The 26410-nt window shown below is 57.9% G+C and overlaps 3 protein-coding genes across 7 annotated transcripts, besides 10 other annotated features; 2 read left to right on the forward strand and 1 right to left on the reverse strand.

Annotated features, from left to right (window-relative positions):
• On the reverse strand, positions 90-8231 carry FIZ1 (FLT3 interacting zinc finger 1). Of its 4 annotated transcripts, none has more exons than NM_032836.3 (3): positions 8188-8231; positions 6286-6615; positions 90-2360 (listed from the first exon to the last, which is right to left on the reverse strand). In NM_032836.3, exons 2-3 carry the CDS (start codon positions 6577-6579, stop codon positions 1164-1166), a joined length of 1491 nt encoding a protein of 496 aa, NP_116225.2. In that variant the 5' UTR covers positions 6580-6615; positions 8188-8231; the 3' UTR covers positions 90-1163. The 4 variants fall into 4 exon arrangements, with proteins under 4 accessions (NP_116225.2, XP_005259409.1, XP_047295520.1 ...); XM_005259352.5 differs by having other exon boundaries at positions 7209-8231; XM_047439564.1 differs by having other exon boundaries at positions 6286-8231.
• Positions 7602-8476: an enhancer, noted in NCBI's record as "H3K27ac hESC enhancer chr19:56110254-56111128 (GRCh37/hg19 assembly coordinates)". NCBI's record gives its function as "activates a minimal SCP1, AML or CMV promoter by ChIP-STARR-seq in naive and primed H9 embryonic stem cells {active_cell/tissue: H9 hESC(naive and primed)}" and the evidence as "EXISTENCE:reporter gene assay evidence [ECO:0000049][PMID:30033119]".
• Positions 7828-8247: a silencer, noted in NCBI's record as "silent region_11046". NCBI's record gives its function as "represses an Ori minimal core promoter by ATAC-STARR-seq in GM12878 lymphoblastoid cells {active_cell/tissue: GM12878}" and the evidence as "EXISTENCE:reporter gene assay evidence [ECO:0000049][PMID:35858748]".
• Positions 8288-11852, forward strand: ZNF524 (zinc finger protein 524). 2 transcript variants are annotated; one of them, XM_011526487.3, is made up of 2 exons: positions 8288-8795; positions 10789-11852. In XM_011526487.3, the coding sequence occupies exons 1-2, from the start codon at positions 8516-8518 to the stop codon at positions 11619-11621; spliced, it is 1113 nt and encodes a 370-aa protein (XP_011524789.1). In that variant the 5' UTR covers positions 8288-8515; the 3' UTR covers positions 11622-11852. The 2 variants fall into 2 exon arrangements, with proteins under 2 accessions (XP_011524789.1, NP_694951.1); NM_153219.4 differs by lacking the exon at positions 8288-8795 and adding an exon at positions 9002-9122.
• Positions 8477-9350: an enhancer, noted in NCBI's record as "H3K27ac hESC enhancer chr19:56111129-56112002 (GRCh37/hg19 assembly coordinates)". NCBI's record gives its function as "activates a minimal SCP1, AML or CMV promoter by ChIP-STARR-seq in naive and primed H9 embryonic stem cells {active_cell/tissue: H9 hESC(naive and primed)}" and the evidence as "EXISTENCE:reporter gene assay evidence [ECO:0000049][PMID:30033119]".
• Positions 8477-9507: a biological region, named in NCBI's record as "H3K27ac hESC enhancer GRCh37_chr19:56111129-56112002".
• Positions 8958-9507: a silencer, noted in NCBI's record as "silent region_11047". NCBI's record gives its function as "represses an Ori minimal core promoter by ATAC-STARR-seq in GM12878 lymphoblastoid cells {active_cell/tissue: GM12878}" and the evidence as "EXISTENCE:reporter gene assay evidence [ECO:0000049][PMID:35858748]".
• Positions 11329-11879: an enhancer, noted in NCBI's record as "H3K27ac-H3K4me1 hESC enhancer chr19:56113981-56114531 (GRCh37/hg19 assembly coordinates)". NCBI's record gives its function as "activates a minimal SCP1, AML or CMV promoter by ChIP-STARR-seq in naive and primed H9 embryonic stem cells {active_cell/tissue: H9 hESC(naive and primed)}" and the evidence as "EXISTENCE:reporter gene assay evidence [ECO:0000049][PMID:30033119]".
• Positions 12983-13534: an enhancer, noted in NCBI's record as "H3K27ac-H3K4me1 hESC enhancer chr19:56115635-56116186 (GRCh37/hg19 assembly coordinates)". NCBI's record gives its function as "activates a minimal SCP1, AML or CMV promoter by ChIP-STARR-seq in naive and primed H9 embryonic stem cells {active_cell/tissue: H9 hESC(naive and primed)}" and the evidence as "EXISTENCE:reporter gene assay evidence [ECO:0000049][PMID:30033119]".
• Positions 13535-14086: an enhancer, noted in NCBI's record as "H3K27ac-H3K4me1 hESC enhancer chr19:56116187-56116738 (GRCh37/hg19 assembly coordinates)". NCBI's record gives its function as "activates a minimal SCP1, AML or CMV promoter by ChIP-STARR-seq in naive and primed H9 embryonic stem cells {active_cell/tissue: H9 hESC(naive and primed)}" and the evidence as "EXISTENCE:reporter gene assay evidence [ECO:0000049][PMID:30033119]".
• Positions 14130-14629: a silencer, noted in NCBI's record as "silent region_11048". NCBI's record gives its function as "represses an Ori minimal core promoter by ATAC-STARR-seq in GM12878 lymphoblastoid cells {active_cell/tissue: GM12878}" and the evidence as "EXISTENCE:reporter gene assay evidence [ECO:0000049][PMID:35858748]".
• On the forward strand, positions 14361-25983 carry ZNF865 (zinc finger protein 865). The gene is made up of 2 exons (NM_001195605.2): positions 14361-14446; positions 22307-25983. Exon 2 carries the CDS (start codon positions 22333-22335, stop codon positions 25510-25512), a length of 3180 nt encoding a protein of 1059 aa, NP_001182534.1. The 5' UTR covers positions 14361-14446; positions 22307-22332; the 3' UTR covers positions 25513-25983.
• Positions 21189-21308: an enhancer, noted in NCBI's record as "active region_15098". NCBI's record gives its function as "activates an Ori minimal core promoter by ATAC-STARR-seq in GM12878 lymphoblastoid cells {active_cell/tissue: GM12878}" and the evidence as "EXISTENCE:reporter gene assay evidence [ECO:0000049][PMID:35858748]".
• Positions 25984-26410: the final 427 nt, after the last annotated feature.

Below are 26410 nucleotides of genomic sequence, written 5' to 3' on the forward strand. Positions count from 1 at the left end.
CGAGGACCCGTCTCTATTTAGGGAGTCTGTCCTAAGAGATTCCCCATCCCCCCCGCCTGGAGCCAAGGATCAGAAAATGAGGCATCAGCGACTGACAGGACAAGGTTTATTGGGGGTCCTGGAAACACTGGGGAGAGGGACGAGGGGGCAAGGTCGAGGCTCACAGGGGCACCCCCTAGCCAAATGCCCCCTTCCCCTAGGGATTGGGAGGAAGACAGAGACAGACAAACCAACAGAGATGGAGAGAAAGACCAACGGATGCTACGGAGAGAGGGAAGGAAACCCCAGTGTCCACCACCTCCCACTCAGATGAGTTCACAGGATAAAGAATTGCGTGGACCGGTCCACACGCTACAGGAAAAGAGAGGAGTGTCCGCCCTATTCACTCTAAGGAAGGTGGCAGGCCACAGCCTAGACCAGCCCATTCCATGTGATGGGGGTGTGTGCACATAGATCAGTCCATTCTACTGGGCAAGGGGATTTCAGGCCAGTCTATTCTAGTGTTTGGGGCGGGGAAGATCGTTAGGGTCGATCCATTCCACAGTCGGGGAGGGGGGATTCGAGGGCAGGGGGCATCTACCCTGGTCCCTCTTTCAGCACAGGGAATGAAAAAGGGGAAAGGCAGATTTCGGCTATATCCATTTTCTGGGGTCACCAGTGACTCTGGTGGGTGGCATTTGGAGGGATCTAGGAAAATTCAGGGACATGCTCCCTCCACATTCTCCAGATCAAGGTCGTTAGGAATGATGGCTCTCAGGGAATGGGGCAGTCTTCCCTTGGTGGGGGTGGGTGCCCATCTTTTAGTATTAGGGCTCTCAAGATGAGAGGTACTTGTGGAGACCCATTGCTCACTGCAAAGTCCCCATGTCTTGGGGACTTACGGCTACCCACACTCATTCCAGGGACCTCAGGCTCAGGAGTCTCTCCCTAGATTTGGGCTCCCCTGCCCCAGCTAAGGACCCTGTTTGTTTGTGGTCCCCCAGCTCCGGGGCCTTTGTGGGTTTTTGGTGGCCCCCACCTCTCCAGTCAGGGTCCCCTCATTTCAGGGCCTGCGTCTGGATTTGGATTTGGAGGGCCGGGGCCTCACGCGCAGTCCCGAGGTCCCCTGGTCCAGGCCGAGTCCAGGAGGCTGGGTGGAGGGCAGGGCGCACGCAGCCTGGCAGTCAGTCCATGCCCCGGTGCAGCTTCAGGTGCCTGGAGAGGTTGCTGAGCGTGATGAAGCCCTTGCCGCAGATGTGGCAAGGGAAGGGCCGCTCGGTGCCGTGCAGCAGCCGGTGGCGCTTGAGGTAGCACTCGTGGCGGAAGAACTTGCCGCACTCCAGGCACGGGAACGGCTTCTCGCCAGTGTGCACCAGCACGTGCCGCTCCAGGTCTCGCGGTGAGCGGAACAGCTTCTCGCACTCGGAGCAGCCGAAGATCTTCTTGCCGCGGCCGGAGCCAGACGGGGGTTCCCCGGACGCCGGTTCCCTTTCCCGGGCGGCGGTCGCCGCCTCCTCCCCGCCGCCCTCACCGTGGCTGACCCGCCGGTGCTCCTCCAAGGCGGCCAGCGCCGCGTACAGAGCCCCGCAGTGGCCGCAGCCGTAGGTGGCCGGGCCCGAGTGGGCCTCCAGGTGACTGGCCAGGGCCGCGGCCGACGCAAAGAAGGTCCCGCAGTCGCACTGGTACAGGGTGTCTTCCGAGGGCTCGGCGGCCGCCGCAGGTGCAGGCGCCTCCCCACCGCCCTCGGGGAGCAGCCCCCCGAGCTTGGGCACGCCGCCCCCCGCGGGGCCCAGGAGCAGCCTGCGGTCCGAAGCCAGAGGAGCGTCGCCCGCCTCCGCAGCGGTGCCTTCGCCCGCCGTCTCGGGCCCTGCGCCTGGCCCCGCGGCCCAGGCCTGCGCTGGGGGCGCGCCCGGGCCCTGCAGGTCGTGCGTCAGCTTGTGCCGCTCCAGCAGCGCGGGCGCGTTGAAGTCGCGCTCGCAGCGCGGGCACTTGAAGGGCTTCACGTCGGTGTGCGCCGCCCAGTGGGCCGCCAGCTCGCGGCCGTGGTCGAAGCGCCGCGCGCAGGCGCCGCACGCAAATGGGGGCAAGGAGGCCGCGGCCGCAGCTGCCGCCTCTGCCAGCCCCCAGCTGCCCAGACCCGCGCCTGCCCCCTCGGGGCCCTCTCCGCCGCCGGCCCCTGAGCCCCCGCACACCGAGCAGGGCCCCACATTGCAGCAGACGGAGCAGGGCGCACTCAAGGCGGGCAGGCCAGGGCCGGGCTGCAGGGGAGAGGGGAGAACCCCACGGTGCTGGCGCTTGAGGTGGCGGCCCAGGCTGGAGCGTGAGGAGAAGCGGAGCTCGCAGACCAGGCAGCAGTAGGGTTTCTCACCAGTGTGGACGACCTAGGGGTGCGGGAGGAAGGGCACAACGTCAGGGCTGAGAACCTAGCCCGGACAACGGATTCCTGGACTCCCAGAGGGTTGTGGCACAAGCTCTCTGTCACACCTACAGGGCCATGATCTAGGGAAACGCTCGTCCTATCACTCTCTGTTTGGGGTCACGGTAGATTCTTTCGGTCCTTAAAAAGGCCATGTCCTGGCTGGCCATGGTGGCTCACGCCTGTAATCCCAGCACTCTGGGATTGCATAAGCCTAGGTGTTTGAGACCAGCCCAGGCAACACAGGGAAACCTTGTCTCTACAAATAATTTTAAAAACTAGCTGGACACGGCACACTCCTGTGGTCCCAGCTACCTGGGAGGCTGAGCCAAGAAGTTTGAGGCTGCAGTAAGCCGTGACCATGCCACCACATTACAGCCTGCATGACAGGGTGAGACTGTGTCTCAAAAAAAACAAAAAAACACGACTGGGTGCGGTGGCTCACGTGTGTAATCCCAGCACTTTGGGAGGCTGAAGTGGGTGGATCATTTGAGGTCAAGAGTTCGAGACCAACCTGATCAACATGGTGAAACCCTGCCTTTACTAAAAATACAAAAATTACCCGGGCCTGGTGGCGGGTAGTCCCAGGGACCTGTAGTCCCAGCCACTCAGGAGGCTGAGGTAGAAGAATCACTTGAACCCGGGAGGTGGAGGATGCAGTGAGCCAAAGACGTGCCACTGCACTCTAGCCTGGGTGACAGAGCGAGACTCTGTCTCAAAAAAAAAAAAAAAAAGCCCGGGTGCGGTGGCTCACGCCTGTAATCCTAGCACTTTGGGAGGCCGAGGCGGGCGGATCATGAGGTCAGGAGATCGAGACCATCCTGGCTAACACGGTGAAACCCCGTCTCTACTAAAAATTCAAAAAATTAGCCGGGCGTGGTGGCGGGCGCCTGTAGTCCCAGCTACTCAGGAGGCTGAGGCGGGAGAATGGCATGAACCCGGGAGGCGGAGCTTGCAGTGAGCCGAGATCGCGCCACTGCACTCCAGTCTGGGCGACAGAGCGAGACTCTGTCTCAAAAAAAAAAAAAAAAAAAAAAGAAATCACTATCGGTGGCTAATGGCTATACTGGACAGTGCAGCTCTAAAGTGACACAGCAGCCAGCCCTAGCAGGGTGTGTCTTCTCCCTTGTCAAGCCCTGCTATCCCGAGCCAGTTATCATGAGCTGAATACAGGCCTTAGGTGTGTTAGGGCAGAGAAGTGATTTTGAACCGAATCCGGCTACTGCTCAGAGTTTCTCCCACTGAACGCTTTTCACACATACAGATCCAGGGAATCACTTCCAAGTCTAGGGAATCGAATCTCCCAGGAGGGAGTCCAGGAATCTGTATTTTTTTCTGAGGCATTGCCAGGCTTGTAGACTGTGTAAAACCGTGCCTTAGAGAGGTTTTTTGTATTGATATTTGTCCTTGTTGATTTAAGATTTTGGAATAACAGAGAGAGATTTGTGAGTATGGTAATGTCTTCCTGGAGGCCTGTGAGGAGAAGGGTGAGGCTGGATGAGAAAGAGTGCAGTGCTTGATTAGTAATGTCTGCCAGGGGCACAGATCTGAAGAAGGAACAGGGAGTGATGTTCATTTGCCTTTCTGGCTCCAGACTCGATGCACCTGCTGTACAGTGTGGGTGTAGGGATCTCTATCCTCTTTGTCACTAAATTTATTCTCTCTCTACTCTTTTAACACAACAAGATTATGCTGGTCCCAGGGCCCTTGTACATGCTGTTCTCACTGCCTGGAATGCCCGTAGGTCTATTTATCTGTCAGCTCCTTGGAAACCCTTCCCGGAATCTGGCCCCCTGGCTCATCAGTGATCCTCTTCCACCCTCCTTCTTTAAAGCCTATGGCTCATAGCACACTTAGTGTCTACATATAACTTGAGTGTTGTCTGTCTCCCCACCAGCTAAGGACGATAAAAATAGTGACCACATTGGTTTTGCTCACAGCTGTATTTCCAGGGTCCGGCACTCTCCAGACTTCTCCTGAGCCACACTTTCTGCTTCTCCATGCTCCAGTCACATTGGCCTTCCTCCAGTTCCTCCAAAGCCTGCTTTGCTTCCTTGAAAGTACACATTTTGTTCCCTGGATCCGGAAAGCCTCGGACCCCAGAGGCAGATCATTCCTCACCTTTTTCTCGGGAAAACCATCCCTGACCCCATCCCCGATCCAGACTGCTTCAGCTCTCTCTTGCATTAGCCTCAGAATATGGTTATCCTCCATCCTCAGATGTCTCGGCTGCAGCCTAACATTGATTAACCTAGTTGTTCAGTTCACATCTCCCACATTTGACTCGAGGCCATACAAAGGGTGGACTGTATCTGTTTTGTTCCCTTAGCTATTTTTTTTCCCCCAGAGAGCCTAGCACTGTATCTAAATACAGTAGGTGCTCCTGAAATGGTTCAGTTGAATCACAACCTACTGGTGGGTGGGGGTGAGGCCCCTCAGGGGACTGTCAATTGTTGCATCAAGCTAAGGAGCTCCCCTTTCATCCTAAGGATCAAGGGATTTAAGCAGGGGTCACCTGGTCACTCTGTGATAGATGCAGAGACTGGATGTGAGGGAGAGAGACAGGAAGGAGGGAGACCACTGAGAAAGCCGGGGCCAACATTCAGGATGTGAAGTCCTGAACCAAGGCAGATGCATGGGGACAGAGAGGACAGCCAAGTGTGAAAGACCATCGGTAGATGCCTGGTTTTCTTCACCCTGGTTGTGCAAGTGTCTGGCACATAGACAGAGTGTGACCTAGCCCGTCCCATCTTTCACCTTACCTCCTTCCACCCCAACCCCACAGTCTCCCATCGCTTCCTGGAACACAGCACACTCCTTCCTTCCTCAGGGCCTTTGCACTTGCTGTTCCTGCTGCCTGGAATGCTCTTCCCAGGGAGGATTCCTCACACTGCAGGTTGGCTCAGGTATCACCTGCCCTAACCTTCCCCACCTGTCTGAAGTAGCCCATAGCTCTCCTCTCTTTACTCTCACACATTGATTTGTATTTTTTGTTTGTTTGTTTGTTTGGAGACTGAGTCTCGCTCTGTCGCCCAGGTTAGAGTGCAATGGTGCAATCTCACCTCACTGCAACCTCTGCCTCCCGGGTCCAGGCGATTCTCCTGCCTCAGCCTCCCAAGTAGCTGGGATTACAGGTGCATGCCAACACGCCTGGCTAATTTTTGTATTTTTAGTAGAGACAGAGTTTCACCATGTTGTCCAGGATGGTCTCGATCTCTTGACCTCATGATCTGCCCACCTCGGCCTCCCAAAGTGCTGGGATTACAGGTGTGAGCCACTGCGCCTGGCCAGTATTTTTTTGTTTCTTAAAATTTCCCTCCTATCTTTTTCCAGAACATTCTTGCCAGCATACTTGCTTTCTTGCTTCTTGTCTACTTGGCTACTGACCACCTCCAAAAGAAAGTAAGTTTTCTGAAGGCATGGAATTTGCTTTTGCCTTGGCAACACAGCCGTTTGGTGCAGGGAAAGCTGATAGTCAATGAATAAAGGAATTAAGTATATAACTGATAATCAATGAATAAAGGAATTAAGTATACACCTGATAAACCTAAGTCTTAAAACGGTAAGGAAGGAAAGGATAAACACTAGATTGCAGATGCTGGTGCGTGCACGCGGGGTATTGGCAGGGAGATGGGGCGGGCAGGAGCCTATAGATGGGGAAATTTACTATGAATGTTCCAGTTCGTGGGTTGCTGGTGACTGAATGAGAAATAGCGCATGCTTTCAAGGGTCAGGGTGCTTTGGTAGGGAGGGAGGGACATTTTCTAATGGGAGGAGGCGGGCGCCTAGGCCTTGGGCCAGCTTCCTTTTGCCCAGAGTACAGTGGGGCGCGGGATCCCACCGTAGTCCTGACCAGGGAGGCCAGCCTAGGGCCGGCCTGTGGGACTCACCTGGTGGTGCAGCAGGCCGGTGGAGTCGCGGAACCCCTTGGGGCAGGCAGAGCAGCGGTAGGGCCGCTCCCCGGTGTGCGAGCGCAGGTGGTTGGCTAGGTTGAAGCTGTGCTTGAAACCCTTGCCGCAGCGCGGACATGCGTGGGGCTTGAGCGCTGTGTGCCGGGCAAAGTGGCGCCGCAGGTCTGAGCGGTAGCGGAAGCTCTTGCCACATTCACTGCAGTGAAACGGGACCCTGGGGGCGGCAGCGGCGGGCGGTGCTGGTGCAGGGGTTGGGGCGGGGACGTCATCCATGGTGGCGGGGAATACAGTGGTATGTGGGGGCTCTCTCTGGAGTAGTGGGGAGACAGAGGAGCAGGTGAGGGGGTCGGCTCCCCATCAGCTCTCTCCTCCCAGGTTCCCAGACCCACCACCTGTCCCCTGGGAGACCCTCCCACTGCCCACCTCTCTAAGCCACTCTCATTGTTCTTTAAAATCCTCCTACTCTCTTAGAAACCCTTCTCTCGCGGCTCCACGCCTGTGGCAAAATCTTCCTAATCACTTCATAGTCTCCTCACTCCACGGAGTGTTTTTAAGCCTCTCCTCGCTCTTCGCCAATGCGCGGCCACTGCTCTCTGTGCCCCTCCCACTGTAATTTAAGCCTCTCCCACTCTTCCTTAAGTCCCACCTACTCCCTTCAAAGTCCCCCACAATGTTCCCTAAGGATCTTGTATTCTTTGCCAAGCCCTTTTCCTTCCAAAAGGCCCTCCCACTCCCCTCTAAGCTCCTCCCACTCCTCTTCCAGGATGACCACTTAGCGAATGGGAGGGCAAAGATTTGGGGCTAAGCACACTGGAGTCATCCTTGCAGGGAGACCAGAATTACTCCTGTAACATCAGATAATAAAAATTCTTCATCTGTAAAATGGGAATAGTAGTACCTACCTCATGGAGTGGTGGCGAGAATTAAGTAAAATTGTGGCAATAAATGCTACGTGCCCACTTAAGCTGGTGCACAGCAAAGACGCAACAAGTAAGCTGTTTGGATGACTATTATCCCGTAAGTTCCTCCTGGATTCCTCCTTAAGTCCTACCATGATTGCTAAGTTATTTGACTTATCTAAGCCCCTCTCGGGTCCACTAAGACCCACTTCCAAAACTCCACCCAATTTTTCCTTTAAAGAAGCCACATCCTTTCTAAGACTCTCCACTGGACTCCCGTCACCTTCTCAGGCCTTCTCTACGAAGTCTATTCCCATCCCCTGCAAGTCCTTTCCACATTCATTATAAAGACCTGATAGTTGCATTAAACCCCTCCAAATTACACCCTTAAACTCCACCCCCCTCACTAGGCCTACCTACTTCTCTAAGCCACACCCCAGACAAACTCCATCCCTTCTACTCTAAACTCCTCCCTCCTGCTTCCTGGGCTCCCTTTACCCAACCAGCCTCAATGAGTTTCCTTCCACCCCTCAATCCAGGGCCTACCCACCATTCCTTCTGAGCCACGCCCCTTTATCAAACCCCACCTCTTTGCCTAAGACCCTCCCATTTTCTATCCAGACTCTCCCTCCTCCACGCCCCTCCCACTTCCACTCTAAGCTCCGCCCAACTCAGGCTCCTCCCAGCCCTTGCTCCGCCCCAGCAGCCACTAGGCCCCGCCTCCTCCTCCACCCCGCAGCCTGAGGAGCGGGCCCCCCCACTTGCCCAGTCTGCTCCAGGCCCCAGGCCCCGAGAGCCGGCCTTTTGTGCCCCTCCCCCTGCCCCTAAAAGGTGCAGCCCTGGGCGCCCGGTTGGGGGGCAGGTCGGGCAGGCCCCGGGGCCAGGCGAGTCCACCTCGCTCGTACGGAGCGTTGGTCCTGGAGACCCGGGGCGGCCCCGGGAGGCCGGGGAAGTCCGTCGGCTTTCCTCTTTAATTACTTACACCTCCCTCTGGGCGCCGACATTTTGGGCAGCGGGGGCAGCGTCACTTCCACCCGGGGGGCCCCTCGACTTCCGCCTCAGCTCCCTTCCCCCGCCGTACTCCCCCTTTCTCCCGCCCTCTTGGCTCCCCTTCCTCATCCCCGCCCTTCTCCCTCTTTCCCTTTCCTTTCCCAGCCCTGGAGGTTGAAGAAGCCAGGCCCGCGCCATCTTGGGTGAGGGCAGCGGGAAGGGGCGGGGCTTAGGGACACCCACGGCGCCATACAGACTAAGGGCAAGGAGCTGAGAGCGAGGGGGCTTCTCCGTGGCGACACTAGGCGATGCTAACGTAAATGAGAGCAGATACTATTTCTTTTTCACAGCCTCGGACTCCTCCGATTAGGATGTACAGTTGGACTAGGGAAAAAAAAAGAAAGCGAAGTGCGCCAACTGCAATACAGAGCTGGAAAAGACCGGCACCATCTTATCCACTTAGCACTCCATGGGCTTCGAAGCCTGTCCGGTGCCATGTTAATTACGGGCACTGGGCAGCCATTTTCCCGCTCCTCATCATTCGGTATCTGTCTTTGGGTCACCCGACTGTGGGCTTTGTGAGAGGAAAGGCGTTTCGAGGTGGTTGGGGATGTGGTGCTGGGTTATTTCCCACTGGGGACACACCAGGGCCGCCGGTGCGCAGGCGCGGCTTCCGGGCGTGGCCGCGACCGGTCGTTAGGACCCAGCGAGTCCCCTTTGTTTCCCGCGGGCGCGCAGGCGGGCGGGAAGGGCAGGAAGGGAGGGGCCCGGCGCTTCTCCGAGGGGCGGGGCCGGCACCGCGCGCCGCCGCCCCCGCCTCGCCGCCGCCGAGGGGCAGGGCCCCCTCACCCCCTCCCCTTCCCACGCGCCGGCCCCGTTGCCCCCGCGCGCGCGCACACTCGCGAGCCCCGGCGACATGCAAATGAGGTACCCGAGAGGCGGGGGGCGCAGGCGGGAGGGGGGGTGTGGGGGTAGGGGAGGCCGGGCCGCGCGCTCCCGGAGCGCGCCTCCAACACCTGTTCCTGCTCCCGCGCTCGCGCCCCGCGAAGCCGTCCGGGCGCGCGCGCGCAGACCCCCTTCCTGGCAGCCCCCGCCGCCCGCTTACCCGGCGCCGCTCATTGGCCGTCGCCCCCGCAGGGCCCGCCCCGCGCTTGGGCTTCGCAGCTCGGGGGCCGATGGGCGCGTCAGTACCGGGGCGAGGGGACGGGGAGGGTCGGGGGACCAGTCTCCCCCTTTCCACCGTTCCAAAGACCAGACTCCTAGACTAGGCTACCCCGTGGGAGCGAACCGTATGGAAAGGTGGTTGCTCCTCTCTGGACAGCAGTCTATGTGGCTGTTAAAGGGGAGGGGGGGGTGCAGGGGGGCACCTGCAGCACCTGCTTCCAGCTGCACCTGTGCCTCCCCTTCCCCTCCGTTACACCCCAATCCCATGCTCCCAGTATCTGAGTGGGCGCCGGGAAGATGGTGGTGGCGTTGGTGAAGTTTATTGAGTGCTTACTGTGCACCAGGCAGTGTTCGAGGGGCATTTTAAAGCCCACTGTCTTATTCGATTCTCCTGACAACCCTGGTTTATTCACTTTTCAGAGGAGGAAACTGGCAAAGTCAATTGCTAGTTATAGGCAGAGCTGAATTCAAACCCAGGACTGAGCCCTCGTAATGTCCCCTTTCCTCCTTGGGTTTATTTGTTCTCCATTCTCTGGGACATTCGGGTCACAAGACCTGTTTCCAGTTTTGGCCCTGCCATTTACTGGCAGAGGAACTTAGGCAACTGACTTGGCTTTCCTGTGCCTCAGTTTCCCCATCTGCAAAATGGGACAGATATGCCCTATTCAGAGGGTTGATGTGAGGCTTAGCTGCTCCTGATAACAATGGCTAATGTGTCCTGAAAGCTTCTGTGTATGAACACTTTGTGGGTATTATGCTCATGGCATGTCTGGGCAAGTACGTAGAACTATGTGTCCCATTTTGCAAAAGTCTTGATTAAGGCTTAGAGAAGCGAACACCTTGCCCAAGGCCACGCAGAGAGTAAAGATTTGAACGAATGATGTCTTGACTCCAGGGCCCAGGCTCTTAACATCGCAGATATGTTTCCTCATCCAGGAATCAGGGTCAAATATCACCTGGGACCAGTCCCTTTTTTCCACTCTGGAACCCCTTCCCCACTTCTGCCAGTCAGCAGGGAGGGATGAGAGCATTCGTGAGGCCTCTATGGCTCTGGAGTTTGATGGGCTCTCCGTTTCAAGGATCACAATACTGGTCTGCACTCTCAGTTGGACTCTATCCTCTCTGGAAGGTTTTTTTTTGTGGGGAGGTGGGGAGGGGTGTTGCTCATGTTGATCTTGAACTTCTAGATCCAGAAGGAGAGTTAGGGAGGCATAGGGATGTCTGGTGGAGCTCAGGGAAGTGCCTGTTTATCAGCTGATACAAGATCATCTCACTGTTTTACCCACCAGCATAGCTAAAATTGTGTATCTGGATGAATGTCAAACACACCTTTGTCAAGAGACTTGGAGAGAGGGATGGGCGAGGTGTTGGGGGACACAGGGGTGCTCTAGACCCTGTGAGCACTGACTCTGCCCCTCTCTCCTCTTAGCTGGCTCCAGTGCCCAGACCCAAGCCCCCCACTGCTCAATGGACACCCCCAGCCCAGACCCGTTGCCTTCGCCTTTGCCCGGGGAGGAAGAGAAACCTCTGGCCTTATCTCCTCCTGTTCCCCGGGGCCGCCGAGGCCGTCGTCCTGGGGGAGCCACCTCCTCAAATCGGACACTCAAGGCCTCCCTCCCTCGCAAGCGGGGCCGCCCCCCCAAGTCAGGGCAGGAGCCCCCACTGGTGCAGGTGCAGGGGGTGACAGCCCCAGTAGGCAGCAGTGGCGGGAGCGACCTCCTCCTGATCGATGATCAGGGTGTGCCCTATACGGTCTCTGAAGGTTCAGCGGCTGGGCCTGAGGGCTCTGGCCCCAGGAAGGCCCCACACTTCTGCCCGGTGTGCCTGCGGGCCTTCCCCTACCTCTCCGACCTGGAGCGCCACAGCATCTCGCACTCAGAGCTGAAGCCGCACCAGTGCAAGGTTTGCGGCAAGACCTTCAAGCGCTCCAGCCACCTGCGGCGGCACTGCAACATCCATGCCGGCCTGCGGCCCTTCCGCTGCCCGCTGTGCCCCCGCCGCTTCCGCGAGGCGGGCGAGCTGGCGCACCACCACCGCGTGCACTCGGGGGAGCGCCCGTACCAGTGCCCCATCTGCCGGCTGCGCTTTACAGAGGCCAACACGCTCCGGCGCCATGCGAAGCGCAAGCACCCGGAGGCCATGGGGGTACCCCTGTGTGCACCAGATCCAGGGTCTGAACCGCCGTGGGACGAGGAGGGCATCCCGGCCACAGCAGGGGCCGAGGAGGAGGAGGAGACAGAGGGGAAAGGGGAGCCGGCCTGACCCACACCCCCGGCCATCGCTCCCTGGGCCAGGTTTAGAGCAGGGAGTTTGGCTGGTGCTGGGCCTGAGCCAGGGGGCCGGGACACCCTTGTTTCCGGTGGTCTTCCCGTTGTGGGAGCAGGTGGAGGGTGGAGACCTAAACTTTGGGGTCCAGCTGCCTTCAGCCCCCCTCCCCCAGACTAACAGACCCTTGGAGGCAGGGGCTGTGGAAATAAATCTCTGCCTGCTGGCTGCCTGTGTGTGTTCCGTGCCGGGATGCCATCCTCTCCTGCCTTCAAATGTTCTTCCTCGGCTACACCGTCCTGTCGGGAGTGCGGGGAATTGGAGAGGACCCCACTTCCTGTGCCTCATGAGCGTGGTGCTCGCCAAAGAATGGTTTTGGGGGGAACCTTGGCCCCTTCCCCATCTCCATCAGACCCCAAAGTCCATGGGTCCCTCGGAGTCCGCGGGGAATTGGTTCCACGAACCTCGCAGATACCAAGATCTGGGCATACACAAGTCCAGCAGTGGGCCCTGCGGAACCCGCGGATGTAGGAAAATCCGCCCTTCGTATACTGTATGTTCCACCGGTGTTTGGGTGAAAAAACGTCCGCCTCTCAATGGACCTGCAGTTCAAACCCCTGTTGTTCAAGGGTCAGCTGTATTCCCAGTACACATCCAATCTAACTAAAAACATTGAACCTTCCATGCAGACCTGACTGTAGGTCCGACCGCCTCTCTCCTAGCCAATTCCCAGAAATTCTGCAGCCACTTTGCCCCACCTCCTTGTCCTGAGGACCTACTGTTTGGAAGGAAAAATTAAGACAAAGGTATGAGCAGGACGGTCTGGGTAAGGTTTAGAGATAAGGGGTGTGGATTGGGGCGGGGCTAAGGAGCGAGGGGTGGGGCTGAGATTGCGGGGCAGTTAGGCTGGGACCTGGGGCGGGGGCTTAGAAGAGGGTTAGAGTTGGGTGGGGCTTAAAGAGGTTTAGGGGTTGGTCCGCAGAAAGTGAGAGCGGTTTAAAGAGGATGGATAGAGTTGATCTAATAGAGAGTAGGGGCTTGGAGCTGGGGAAGAACAGGAGGAACTGCGTGAGAGTGGGGCAAGGAGGACGGATAATTTTTTTTTTGAGACAGGGTCTCGCTCTGTCATCCAGGCTGGAGTGCAGTGGCCCTATCACCGCTCACTGCAGCCTCGACCTGCCAGGCTCAAGCGACCCTCCTGCTTCAGCCTCCGGAGTAGCTGAGACTACAGACGGGCGCCAGCATATTTAGCTAATTTTTTTTTTTTGAGACGGAGTCTTGCTGTCGTCCAGGCTGGAGTGCAGTGGGGCAATCTGGCTCACTGCAACCTCTGCCTCCCGGGTTCAAGCAGTTCTCTCCCTCAGCCTCCCGAGTAGCTGGAATTACAGGCGCCCGCCACCACGCCTGGCTAATTTTTGTAATTTTAGTAGAGACGGGGTTTCACCATCTTGGCCAGGCTGGTCTTGACCTCCTGACCTCGTGATCCACCCGCCTCGGCCTCCCAAAGTGCTGGGATTACAGGCGTGAGCCACCGCGTCCAGCCTAATTTTTGTATTTTTTTTTTTTGTAGAGACGGGGTTTTGCCATATTGCCCAGGCTGGTCTTGAACTCCTGTGCTCAAGCAATCCGCCTGCCTTGGCCTCCCAAAGTGCTGGGATTACAGGCGTGAGCCACCACGCCAGGCCAAGAGAACGGATTTTAAGGTGAGGGGCGGAGCTTATAATAATTCAGCTCTGAGGTGGGCGTGGTTCAGGGCCGAGGGCCGGGGGCCGGGGCTTAAAGGAGAAACTCTGAGGGAACAGGGTATTGGAGGTGGGACTTAGAAGGTGCTGATGGGGGCGCACGACTGCTATGGAGGCGATGGGGAGAGAAGGAAGTACTTAATCTAAGGGAAGTTCCTGGGAGAGTGGAAGCTTAGCAGGAGGGGCTGAATGGGTCTGGGTTTGGCTGTTTGGGATGGGGCTGAGTTGGGAGCCGGGATTATAGCGATTATATGAGCGGGCAGTGTCAAGTGTGGTAAATCCATGGCTCTTGACCAGCATGCAGCAGAATCAGAGTATTTCAAAACACGGATCCCTAGACCCCCAACCCCAGGGCTTCTATTCCGCATGGTCTGAGCAGGCAGCCGGATGCTGCTGGCCTCCCAACTATCCTTGACAACCACCGATTTAAAAGAATGCTTTAGAGGTGGGAGGCACTCAAAAGTCACGAGGTGCAACTTAAATGCTATGGGGTGAAGGGGCGGGGCTTGGATGGAGGGGGCGGGGCCTAGGGAGGGGTGAAGTTCCAGAGAGTGGGAGCTTGGAGAGGGGGAAGAACAGGAGAAACTGCATGAGGGCGAGGGGACGAAGACAGACTTTGAGGCAGTAGGGGGCTTATAATCACGCTGTGAGATGGGCGTGGTTCAGGGCCAGGGGGCGGGGCTTCAGTGTGAGACCCGAGCCGGAGGTGTGGCTTAACCGGACGCCCAGAGCGTGTCGCGGGGTTCCCGTAGAAGAGGCGGGCATTCAAAGCGCAGGCGCACCTGGCTCAGTTCGCCCACCGGAATCGGCCCGGGCTTTCACTGCTCGCGTCCCCGAGTCAGTGCGCAAGCGCATTTCCCCCCTCCTGGTCCCCGCCACCGCCTCCTCTTTCCGATCCTCCACGCCGGCGCCTCGGGAACGGGCGCGACTTCCGCTTCCGGGCGGGCGGGCAGGCGGGCGGTGCGGGGCTGCCGGGGAGGGGGGAGGGGGCGGCACTTCCGGTCGGGCCCTCGGGTCTCCCCGGAGCGGCGGCGCCTCCTCCGCCTCCTCGGCCTCCTCCCGGCGGAGACCCCGGCGCCGGTGAGTGACGGGGTGCGTGGCCCGGGGGCCCGGGTGCAGCGGGGGCGGGGGGCCCCGCCCTGGCCCGCTGTGGTCCCCAGAACGTCCCCCAACCCCTAGCAAGTCAGTGCAGCTCCCGCCGGGCCCTTGCCAAGGGACCCCCAATCACTGCTCCCCGGTAGGATCACTGCAGATAGCTCCCCCATGAACGCCCCCAGCTAGGATGGCTGCCAAAGCGCTTTCATTCGTGGCGATCCCCTAAACGGCTGCCAGGGCCCCCAAATGATACCTCCTCGTAGGATCCCCTCCACATAGCGCTCCCCGTCATTGCTTCCTCCAGGTCAGCCTCCAGATGCCATCAGCATTGCCCCTCCCCATGTAGGGCAGCTGCTCGTGAACCCTCTTATTAGTATCCTCTATATAATTCTCCCCAGAGTGTTTCCTTAGTGCCTTGCAGCAGAACTGTCCCCCGTTATCTCTGTCCATACAGCAACAGCCCCCAATGGCCCTGACCACCTCCCTCCCCAGCAGAACGCCCCTTCGTGGGTGTGAAAATACTTTCTATTCTGGTCAGCACCAAGAATGCCTTTTTCCCTTCTGCAGGTCCTCCAGTGATTCCCCTTAAGAATGCCCCTTTCAAAGCCACCCCCCCATCGCAGCGGCACAGCTCCCTCTAGAGTTCCTTCACACTCACATCCTCTCCCGCCTCAGGTAGAAATATCCGCCTGCTTAGCTCCAGGCTCCCATGACATACTCCCGTACCTCCTCTCACCCCACCCTCATCGCGGTCAGCCCGTCTTCATTACTTCTGCCACAGAACAGTGTCCCGCAGTGAGGCGGTGAAGCCTTCCTTCCCAGAATGTGCCTCATCCTCTTCCTATGGCGTGAACAACTGTTGCCCTGACCTGCAGCTTCTCACCCAGCTCTCAGGCTATCGTCCTGGACTCCCTAGGGAAGACCCTGGACTTCACTAGGGTGTGACTTCTTTTCTCGTAGGCATTCCTTCTGCGTTGAACGCATATTCACTATTCTAGCTGAAGGGTATAATATACAGCCACGAAGGGGGTCGATACACACAGTGTTCTCACTGTGCGGGGTCTCACAGTCTAGTTGATCAGACACGAGTCGACAAAGATACACGGGGTTTTGTGGGTTCTCTGAGAGCCTGATGAACTACTTTAGAGGTGAAAGCTGAATTACAAGTGGCAGCTTAGCCATGCAAAGATCTGGGTGAGCAGGCAGCAAGAACAACAAGTGCAAAGGCCCTGAAGTGGCGGTGAGCACGGTGAGTGGAGGAGCAGCAGGGGAGGCCGGTGAGGGTGGAGTGGAAGATTTGAAGGCAAGAACAAGAGGAAGGAAGCTTTGGTCTCAAAAGGCTTTGGAGGTGAGGGCACTGGGATAAATTATCTAGCCTTTGTCAGCTCTACCGAGCCCAGAATGTTCTTCATTCATTCATACGTTCATTCGTAAACACTGGTTGAACAACTGTTTAATGAGCACCTACTTTACATTGGGGGTACAACAGAGAACAAAATAGACAAGAATCCCTGTCCTCATGGAGTGGATATGCTAGTTGAGGGGGCAGATGATTAAAAGACAAAATACAGGCCAGGCGAGGTGGCTCATGCCTGTAATCCCAGCAGTTGGGAAGGCCAAAGTGGGAGGATCGCTGGAGGCCAGGAGTTCAAGACCAACCTCGGCAACATAGTGAGACCCTGTCTTTACAGGAAAAAAAAAAAAAAAAAAAAAAAGCTGGGTGTGGTTGGTGGGCACCTGTAGTCCCCAGCTATTCAGGAGGCTGAGGTGGGAGGGCTGCTTGAGCCCAGGAGTTCGAGGCTGCAGTGAAAAAAAATAAAAACAAAAACCAAGAGTATATGTGCGTGTTCAGAATATCACGGGATAAAGAGATAGACCTGGGGGGCTGTGGTTCAGGATGGCCTCCCCCAGGATTTTCCTATGTCTTGTCATCTTGTCCCTCCCAAAAGCCACACACCAAAAAGTTATACAAGAGTAAAAATTCCCCTTCTCCTGGACAACTGTGGCCCACTTGGGGGCTGCTCTTAACAGCGCCCTAACCCCAGGAGCGAAGTGATTGGGAGGATGAGCCCTGGATTCCACTAGGGTTCACAGCTTTGAGCAAATCACTCCCTCCTTTCCTAGCCTCATTCATTCACTTCTTCAAACAAAAATGTATCAAGCCAGGAACTGTTGTAGGTCCTGGGGATGGAACAGTGAGCAAGAGATAAAAATCCTTGCCTTCAGGAAGCCGATCATCTGGATGGGGAGACCAACAAAATCAAGGCAAAGAAGTAGATTATGTGAGGTTATAAATGATGCTGAGCAGTAAGGAGAGAAATGAAGCAGGGTTAGGGAGATGAGGATGTGGGCCTGGGTGACAGGTCATTGGTTACTGAGAGGCTCATTGAGAAGACAGTTGACCAAAGATGGGGAGGAGGTGAAGGGGTGAGCGAGATGGTTGCCTGAGAGTCAGAATATTACAGGCAACAGCAACAGCCAGCGCAAAGGCCCTGCAGCAGGAATAGAGTGGGCACATGGGAAGAGCAGCCAGGAGACTGTGGAGGTCATTGTAAGGACTGTGGCTTTTTTTTTTTTTTTTTTTGAAAAGGAGTTTCGCTCTTGTTGCCCAGGCTGGAGTGCAGTGGTGTGATCTTAGCTCGCTGCAACCTCCGCCTCCCGGGTTCAAGTGATTCTCCTGCCTCAGCCTCCCGAGTAGCTGGGATTACAGGCATGTGCCACCACGCCCAGCTAATTTTGTATTTTTAGTAGAGATGGGGTTTCTCCATGTTGGTCAGGCTGGTCTCAAACTCCCGACCTCAGGTGATCCGCCTGCCTTGGCCTCCAAAAATGCTGGGATTACAGGCGTGAGCCACCGTGCCCAGTCAGGACTGTGGCTTTTGAATGAGATGGGGTTACTGTTTGGTTTGGGACCGAGGATAGACATGCTTTGGTTATAGTCCTCCTGTCAGTAAAATGGGAATAATAATAACACATTTGTTGTGAAGTTTGAATGAAACAAGCCACATAAGGCACCTAAGTACAATGCTTGTTAGAGGTCAACAAATGTTGGTGACTTGTTCTGGTCTTGGGTCAAGCCAAGAGACTTGGGATTTGTTGGCAGGGAGATGGGTGGAGCAATGCATGTTTCCAGTATGAAGTGGGATTGGGGGCGGGGGTCCTCCTTCATTTTGGAGGGAGAAATACCGAAAGACAGCATGTGATGGGACTCTGGAGCCTTGCTGCCTTTCTTCAACCACTGGCCCTGCCACTAGTTAACAATGTGACTTTAGAAGTTTGTTTGTTTGTTTTTGAGAAACAGAGTCTCACTCTGTCACCCAGGCTGGAGTGCAGTGGCGTGAGCTCACTGCAACCTCTGTGTCCTGGGTTCAAGCAATTATCCTGCCTCAGCTTCCCCACTAGCTGGAACTACAGGTGTGCACCACCACACCCGGCTAATTTTTTTATTTTTAGTAGAGACGGGGTTTCACTATATATTGGCCAGGCTAGTCTCGAACTCCTGACTATAGTTGATCCACCCACCTCGGCCTCCCAAAGTGCTGGCATTACAGGCATGAGCCACCATGCCTGGCCTGACTTTGGAAGTTTAATTTATCTCTCTGGCCCTCAGTCTCTTCCTTTGTATTTCAGAGTCAATGCTTGTAACCATCTTCTAGGGTTACTGGGAGGATTCGTTGAGCTCACACACATCAGAGTTACAAGAGTGCTGGGCTGGTAGAAAGCACACATCCAGTGTTATATGCGCACGTTACTCTTTATTAACAAACCAGAATTTCATCACAAGGCAGCGTTGTTGCAGCAGAACGGCCCACAGTCTGGCATCAGAAAGACCTGGAATCAGTTACCTGCTTTCCTCTTTATTGGCCACATGACCTTGGAGGAATGCCTTCCCCATGCTGCTCCTCAGTTTCCCCACTTATAAGATGGGCCCAGTCATGGTACAGGACTGTGCTGCCTCCAGGCAATAACAAATATCAAACTGGTCAAACAATAAATGTGAACCGTTAATACACTTGCTGTGGGACTCCTGTCCCTTGGTGGTGGTGGTGGAGGGGTGGGTCCCTCCCCATCATGCTTCTCTCTGCATAAAACCCTCCTATGACATCCCCTCTTAAAAAGATACCAGTTTAGGCTTGAGTTGTATGAAAGAGGGAATGTTTCTGGTTTCCTAGTGGAGATTATCATAAGCCTGATCAATTCTGTCCACCACTGATGTATCCCCTTCAGCATCTCCACACCCTGCCCTCAGTGCCCTCCTCATAACATCACTGTCCCCAGAATTGCTTCTCCCAGGAATTCCTGGGATCATTTAGCTCCATTTCTGCTACATGTCCCCCTCCGTTCCTCTGGGAGTTTGATCAGCTTAGTCTCATCGCTTTGTTCATTCCACAAATACCAAGATAGACATTCACAGCTGTGCATTTCCCTCTGAGCATTGCTTTGGCTGCACCTCCTCAGCTTTGGTATGTTGTGTTTTCATTTTCATTAATTGCTAAGCAGTTTTTTTGCTTTTTGTTTGTTTGTGTTTTTGAGATGGAGTCGCGCTCTTGTTGCCCAGGCTGGAGTGCAGTGGCACGATCTCAGCTCACTGCAACCTCCACCTCCCGAGTTCAAGCGATTCTCCTGCCTCAGCCTCCCAAGTAGCTGGGATTACAGGCGCCCACCACCAAGCCTGGCTAATTTTTGTATTTTTAGTAGAGACGGGGTTTCGCCATGTAGGCCAGACTGGTGTCGAACTCCTAACCTCAGGTGATCCTCCTGCCTTGGCCTCCCAAAGTGCCGGGATTACAGGTGTGGGCCACCGCACCTGGCCAGCATTTTCTAATGTATGATTTCTTTGTGGACCCATTGGTAATTTAGGAAGGTGGTGTTTCCTTTTCACATACCAGCAGATATTTGTCAAGCACCCACACTGGGCCAGTGCTACGCTAAGTGCTGGGGTCACAGGGGCGAGCAAGACAGGCCAAGTCCTTGCTTTCCTAGAGAGGGGCCAAACAGTAAACACACAGAAAAGGAATGACATGAGTTGGTGGCAATAACTATAATGAAACACCTGCGGCTGGATGAGGGACTGGAGAGTGATGGGGTGGGGAGTGCTGAGTAGAGACCCAAGGAGGCTCCAGAGGGAGTCTTGTTGAAATCTGGCGAAGAACACTGTAGGCAGAAGAGAAAGTAACCACCACCCTCTCCCACCAGGCCCCTTGTATAGACACCCCTCATAACCCAGAAGACATCCCTAAATAAAGCTCTTATCCTGATAGTTCTCCCCTCACCTTTGTTCACTCGGGGAACAGCCCAGTGAAACACTGCTGTGGGGGCAAGGGTGGGAATGGGGTTCAAGCCCATTGATCCAGACTCCTACTCCGTGACCATGGCAACTCACTTTGCCTCTCCATGCCTTAGTTTTCTAATTTATCCAACGGCGGGAACAGCTGCCCCTATTTAGAGTTGTGGGGAGTCAGTGAATTAATATGTGTAACGTGCTTAGAACCGTGGCGGGCCTCTAGGAGATGTCCAGTCAGTGACAGCTACGATTAACCTGTGCTCTAGTGGAGACAAGCTAGTCAGGGGCTTCTTTCCCCAAACACTCTTGCCCTCCCTCCCCATAGCGCCCTAAATCACCCCCTATTCCCTGCATCCTTATGGCCTGTGTTTGCCTCCCTGGCCAGTCAGCCCCCTCCAGAGCTGTCTCCCCAACTTAGGTTCCACCTACAGCCTTCCAATTACCACCCCAGCCAAGCCTGTCCTCTTTCCGGAGATCAGATTAAACGGAGGGGGTGTGAAGGGCATGGGATGTTGAGTCTTGTCCAAGGACAAGGACACCCGGAGCTGGAGACTAAAAATATCTCACTCCAGGATGGCGTTTGGGGTGGGGGTGGAAGAGACACTCACCCCTCACCTGTGGGAGGAGAGAGCAGCCCGATGGATAGAGGATAAAGGGTCCAGGCCTTGGTAGGAACCCCCTTGACCCCCATAGCGGGCTGGGCTTAGAGCCTGGCCCCCATCGGGTAGGGATGATGGACAGGAAGCGGGTCAGACCTCATGGGCCCTTCACCGACTCACCCTCCGCCCACTTGGTGGAGGTGCTTCCCCAGGCCAGCAAGTAGACCAAGAACTCGGAGATCAGTTACGGGTGCTGAGGGTCTGGTGTGGTGTGGGGTACACACATGGATACCTGCCATCTGGAATGAAAAGTCGTGTAAAGGAGGTGCCAGAGAATGATGCCGGGGGTGGAGGGTCAGGAGAAGCCCCACTAAGGGCAAGGACATGGGGGGGTCAGGAGAAGCCCCACTAAGGGCAAGGATGGAACTCAAGCTCCCTGCTTCTGTTGCTAGGCTTAGCCCAGGTGTGTGATGTCATGGATGGTACAAATAGCTCAGGGGGTTGAATGCATTCTGCTGATGCATGTGTTTCATTATGTTCTGTTCCAACCCTGTTGAATCTCCCTGCGGTATAGGGGTTCCCCCATTTTAAACATGGAGAAAGTGTGGATCCCAGTGGAGATGGGATTTGAACCCAGGTCTGTCCAAGCCCAGGGTCTGTGTTTTGATTGTATCAGACCACCTTCTGACTATATGCCAGCCCCCTTGCTGGAATTTGTTTCTCCCAGGCAAGCAAATTCTCCTTTCTACTGTCTATTAATATTAAAAGAGTGCACTCCCCATACTGACTTTTTTCAGTTCTCTAGGCTTGTCCTGACTTCCCCATTTCTACTACTAGTAGTAACAGTGATAACAGTATCGTATCTTCAATTTTTTAATTTTAGTTTTTAGAGCCAAGGTCTTGCTCTGTCACCCAGGCTGGAGTACAGTGATGTGATCACAGCTCATTGTAGCCTTCACCTCCCGGGCTCAAGCAGCTCTCCTGCCTCAGCCTCCCAAAGTGCTGGGATGACAGCTGTCAGCCACTGTGCCCAGTCCATACCTTCTATGTACGGAGTGCTTACAGAGTGCCAGGAACCGCCCCCTAAGAGCCTTGCACATATGTGTGTGTTGAATCCTCACAGTCCTGTGAGGTAGGCATGTGCTTTGTGGTCCCCAGGTGTAGATGAGGAAATGGAGGCACAGAGAGGTTCAGTCACTTGCCCGTGGCCACACAGCTAGAAGTGGCAGGGCTTACATTTGATTCTGGCCCCAGAGTCCTCCCTCCTAATTACGCTGATAGAAACTGTGATTCCCCTTATCATTATGCTCATTTTAGGATAAAACCTGAAGGGATGAGGACGGAGGGCTGTGGGTGGGGTAGGGTGCAGGAGTATGGAGAGACAGCAGAGGGTCTGAGAGGGTTTGGAAAGAAAACTGAGTCCAGAGGCCCCCAGGATGCTTGGACAATTGGAGTCTGAAAAGGAGAGAAAGTAGAGACGGCCCAGGCCAGCGCGCTGGCTCACATCTGTAATCACCCAGCACTTTGGGAGGTGGAGGCTGGAGGATGGCGTGAGTCCAGGAGTTTCAGACCAGCCTGGGCAACAAAGCAAAACCCCGTTTCTACAAATAATAGAGGGCCTGCAGGTGGTGTGGAGGAGAGGGTCCCCTCTACAAAGCTGTGTCAGGACCCCAGAAAAGATGGGGAGAGATGGAAGGAATTAGAGAAGGAAAAGAGGTGGGGAGTGGGTGGGAGTTGAGAACACAGAGAGGGAAGGTGAAGGTGAGTAGGAGAGTCCTGGGGCCAGGGAGCCAAGAGGAAGGGCTGCCCTTTGGGGTGGACAGGCAGAGGGACTGGAAGCCTAAATCTGGAAGGCTAGGGGGTGATCCGCACAAGGATGGATGAGTGGGCGCACAGCTCCATTCACCTGCGGGGAGACCCAGCGCCGCGGCCGTGTCCTCAGCCCCGTCCTCCTCTTCACAGGGTCTCCCGTCTCCCACCCGCCGGAGATGGAGGCGAACCCAGCGGGCAGCGGCGCCGGGGGTGGCGGGAGCAGCGGCATCGGGGGCGAGGACGGGGTGCACTTCCAGAGCTACCCCTTCGACTTCCTGGAATTCCTCAACCACCAGCGCTTCGAGCCCATGGAACTGTATGGGGAACACGCCAAGGCGGTGGCGGCCCTGCCCTGCGCCCCCGGCCCCCCGCCGCAGCCCCCGCCGCAGCCCCCTCCCCCGCAGTATGACTACCCGCCCCAGTCCACCTTCAAGCCCAAGGCGGAGGTGCCCTCCTCGTCCTCGTCCTCGTCCTCCTCCTCCTCCTCTTCGTCCTCCTCGTCGTCATCTTCGTCCTCTTCCTCTTCCCAAGCCAAGAAGCCCGATCCGCCCCTGCCGCCCGCCTTCGGGGCGCCCCCTCCTCCCCTCTTTGACGCTGCTTTCCCCACTCCGCAGTGGGGCATCGTGGACCTCTCGGGGCACCAGCACTTGTTTGGGAACCTGAAGCGAGGAGGGCCCGCGTCCGGGCCGGGGGTGACGCCTGGGCTGGGCGCTCCCGCGGGGGCCCCAGGGCCGCTTCCTGCCCCCTCGCAGACCCCGCCAGGACCCCCCGCGGCGGCGGCCTGCGACCCCACCAAGGACGACAAGGGCTACTTCCGGAGACTGAAGTACCTGATGGAGCGGCGCTTCCCCTGCGGCGTGTGCCAGAAGTCCTTCAAGCAGTCCTCGCACCTGGTCCAGCACATGCTGGTGCACTCGGGGGAGAGGCCCTACGAATGCGGCGTCTGCGGCCGCACCTACAACCACGTGTCCAGCCTCATCCGCCACCGCCGCTGCCACAAGGACGTGCCACCGGCCGCGGGGGGCCCGCCCCAGCCCGGCCCCCACCTCCCGCCGCTGGGCCTCCCAGCACCCGCTGCCAGCGCCGCCACCGCCGCCGCCCCCTCCACGGTGTCCTCGGGCCCTCCAGCCACGCCCGTGGCGCCTGCCCCCTCCGCAGACGGGAGCGCCGCCCCTGCTGGTGTTGGGGTGCCCCCTCCTGCCACCGGGGGTGGCGATGGCCCGTTCGCCTGCCCACTCTGCTGGAAGGTTTTCAAGAAGCCCAGTCACCTCCACCAGCACCAGATCATCCACACGGGCGAGAAGCCCTTCTCCTGCTCCGTGTGCAGCAAAAGCTTCAACCGCAGGGAGAGTCTGAAGCGCCACGTGAAGACGCACTCGGCCGACCTCCTGCGCCTGCCCTGCGGCATCTGCGGGAAGGCCTTCCGCGACGCCTCCTACCTCCTCAAGCACCAGGCGGCCCACGCGGGGGCGGGCGCCGGGGGGCCTCGGCCCGTGTACCCCTGCGACCTGTGCGGCAAGTCCTACTCGGCTCCGCAGAGCCTGCTCCGCCACAAGGCCGCCCACGCCCCGCCCGCTGCCGCTGCGGAGGCGCCCAAGGACGGGGCGGCCTCGGCCCCGCAGCCCCCGCCCACCTTCCCCCCGGGCCCGTACCTCCTGCCCCCCGACCCTCCCACCACAGACAGCGAGAAGGCGGCGGCGGCCGCGGCGGCGGTGGTGTACGGCGCTGTGCCCGTCCCGCTCCTGGGCGCCCACCCGCTGCTGCTCGGCGGCGCGGGGACCAGCGGGGCGGGAGGCTCGGGCGCCAGCGTCCCAGGAAAGACGTTCTGCTGCGGCATCTGCGGGCGCGGCTTCGGGCGCCGCGAGACCCTGAAGCGCCATGAGCGCATCCACACGGGCGAGAAGCCCCACCAGTGCCCCGTGTGTGGGAAGCGCTTCCGCGAATCCTTCCACTTGAGCAAGCATCACGTGGTGCACACGCGCGAGCGGCCCTACAAGTGCGAGCTCTGCGGCAAGGTCTTCGGCTACCCGCAGAGCCTCACCCGCCACCGCCAGGTGCACCGGCTCCAGCTGCCCTGCGCCCTGGCCGGGGCAGCCGGCCTCCCCTCCACCCAAGGCACACCGGGGGCCTGTGGGCCCGGGGCCTCGGGCACGTCTGCAGGGCCCACCGATGGGCTGAGCTACGCCTGCTCGGACTGCGGCGAGCACTTCCCGGATCTCTTTCACGTCATGAGTCACAAGGAGGTCCACATGGCAGAGAAGCCATACGGCTGCGACGCCTGCGGCAAGACCTTCGGCTTCATCGAGAACCTCATGTGGCACAAGCTGGTCCACCAGGCCGCCCCCGAGCGCCTGCTCCCGCCCGCACCCGGCGGCCTGCAGCCCCCGGACGGCTCCAGCGGCACGGATGCGGCCAGCGTGCTGGACAACGGGCTGGCGGGGGAGGTGGGGGCGGCCGTGGCGGCACTGGCAGGGGTGTCTGGGGGTGAGGACGCAGGCGGGGCGGCGGTGGCAGGTGCTGGCGGGGGTGCCAGTTCCGGCCCCGAGCGCTTCAGCTGTGCCACGTGCGGCCAGAGTTTCAAGCACTTCCTGGGCCTCGTGACTCACAAGTACGTGCACCTGGTGCGACGGACCCTGGGCTGCGGCCTCTGCGGCCAGAGCTTCGCGGGCGCCTACGACTTGCTCCTACACCGCCGCAGCCATCGGCAGAAGCGGGGTTTCCGCTGCCCGGTGTGCGGGAAGCGCTTCTGGGAGGCGGCCCTGCTGATGCGCCACCAGCGCTGCCACACGGAACAGCGGCCGTACCGATGTGGCGTGTGCGGCCGAGGCTTCCTGCGCTCCTGGTACCTGCGGCAGCACCGCGTGGTGCACACTGGCGAGCGGGCCTTCAAGTGCGGCGTGTGCGCCAAGCGCTTCGCGCAGTCGTCCAGCCTGGCAGAGCACCGGCGGCTGCACGCTGTGGCCCGGCCCCAGCGCTGCAGCGCCTGTGGCAAGACCTTCCGCTACCGCTCCAACCTGCTGGAGCACCAGCGGCTGCACCTGGGCGAGCGCGCCTACCGCTGTGAGCACTGCGGCAAGGGCTTCTTCTACCTGAGCTCCGTGCTGCGCCACCAGCGCGCCCATGAGCCGCCGCGGCCCGAGCTCCGCTGCCCCGCCTGCCTCAAGGCCTTCAAGGATCCCGGCTACTTCCGTAAGCACCTGGCTGCCCACCAGGGCGGCCGGCCCTTCCGCTGCTCCTCCTGCGGCGAGGGCTTCGCCAACACCTACGGCCTCAAGAAACACCGCCTGGCGCACAAGGCCGAGAACCTCGGGGGGCCTGGAGCAGGGGCGGGCACCTTGGCCGGGAAGGATGCCTGACCGAGGGGTTCCCATCCCACTCCCATCAAAAGCCCCCTTCTGGACTCCCACCTCCCAGGACTGATCAGACTCTTCCCCCCTCCTCGCTGTTGCCCCATCCTTCAGAACTTCACACGGACTGGCGACCTTCAGGGCGCACGCCCGACAGGCTCAAGACTGAATCACTCCCATCCTCGACCTCTCTGCCCTCCCCTCATCCCATCAGACACTGAACCCTATCCTCCGTCCAACCCTCGTTTGTGACCCGCATCAGCCCCCGCCCCAGCAGCACTCTGCCCCCAGTAAGTTTTGGCGGAGATGGGTCTGAACCGCCCCTCCCCCTCCTTTGGAATCTGGCTGGACAGTGGAGTATGAGCAGAGTTGGGAGGGCACAAGGGAGTGCTGGGTGCTTTTTGGGGTGGGGGGGTGGGGGGCGGGGTGGCAGACGCGGCTTGTACAGAGCGGAGAATAATAAATCTTACCATGAGGGCCGCTGGAGTCCATCCTTGCATCCCACCCAGGGAGAGTGGGGATCACATGGTGGCAAAGCACAAAGTTAAAACTTGTTTCCTCTGCAGTTTTGATGCCGGGCGCCTCTGTCTCTCACTCACTCTCATTCAACAGGGACTTACTGAGGATTTGCTGTATTCCCAGCGTTAGTCTGAGCTGGGCAAATGGAGATGGACAAGACAGGTAAGTGTCTGCTCTCAGGAACTGACTTAACATGCCCCGACTCTTCCCCTTCCGGATGCTTTCAGCCTTTGTTCACTCCACCACCACTTCCGGAGACCTCCTGCCTGCCAGGCCCTGAGCTGGGCACTGGGGAAACAGATGAATTGGACGTGCCCCTTGGCCTCAAGTAACACAAAAGAGAACTCCCATCCGGCTGCCGTGGCTGCCTCACAACCATGTGCAGACT

This window comes from Homo sapiens, chromosome 19, assembly GCF_000001405.40.
Source record: "Homo sapiens chromosome 19, GRCh38.p14 Primary Assembly".
Lineage (NCBI taxonomy): Eukaryota > Metazoa > Chordata > Mammalia > Primates > Hominidae > Homo > Homo sapiens.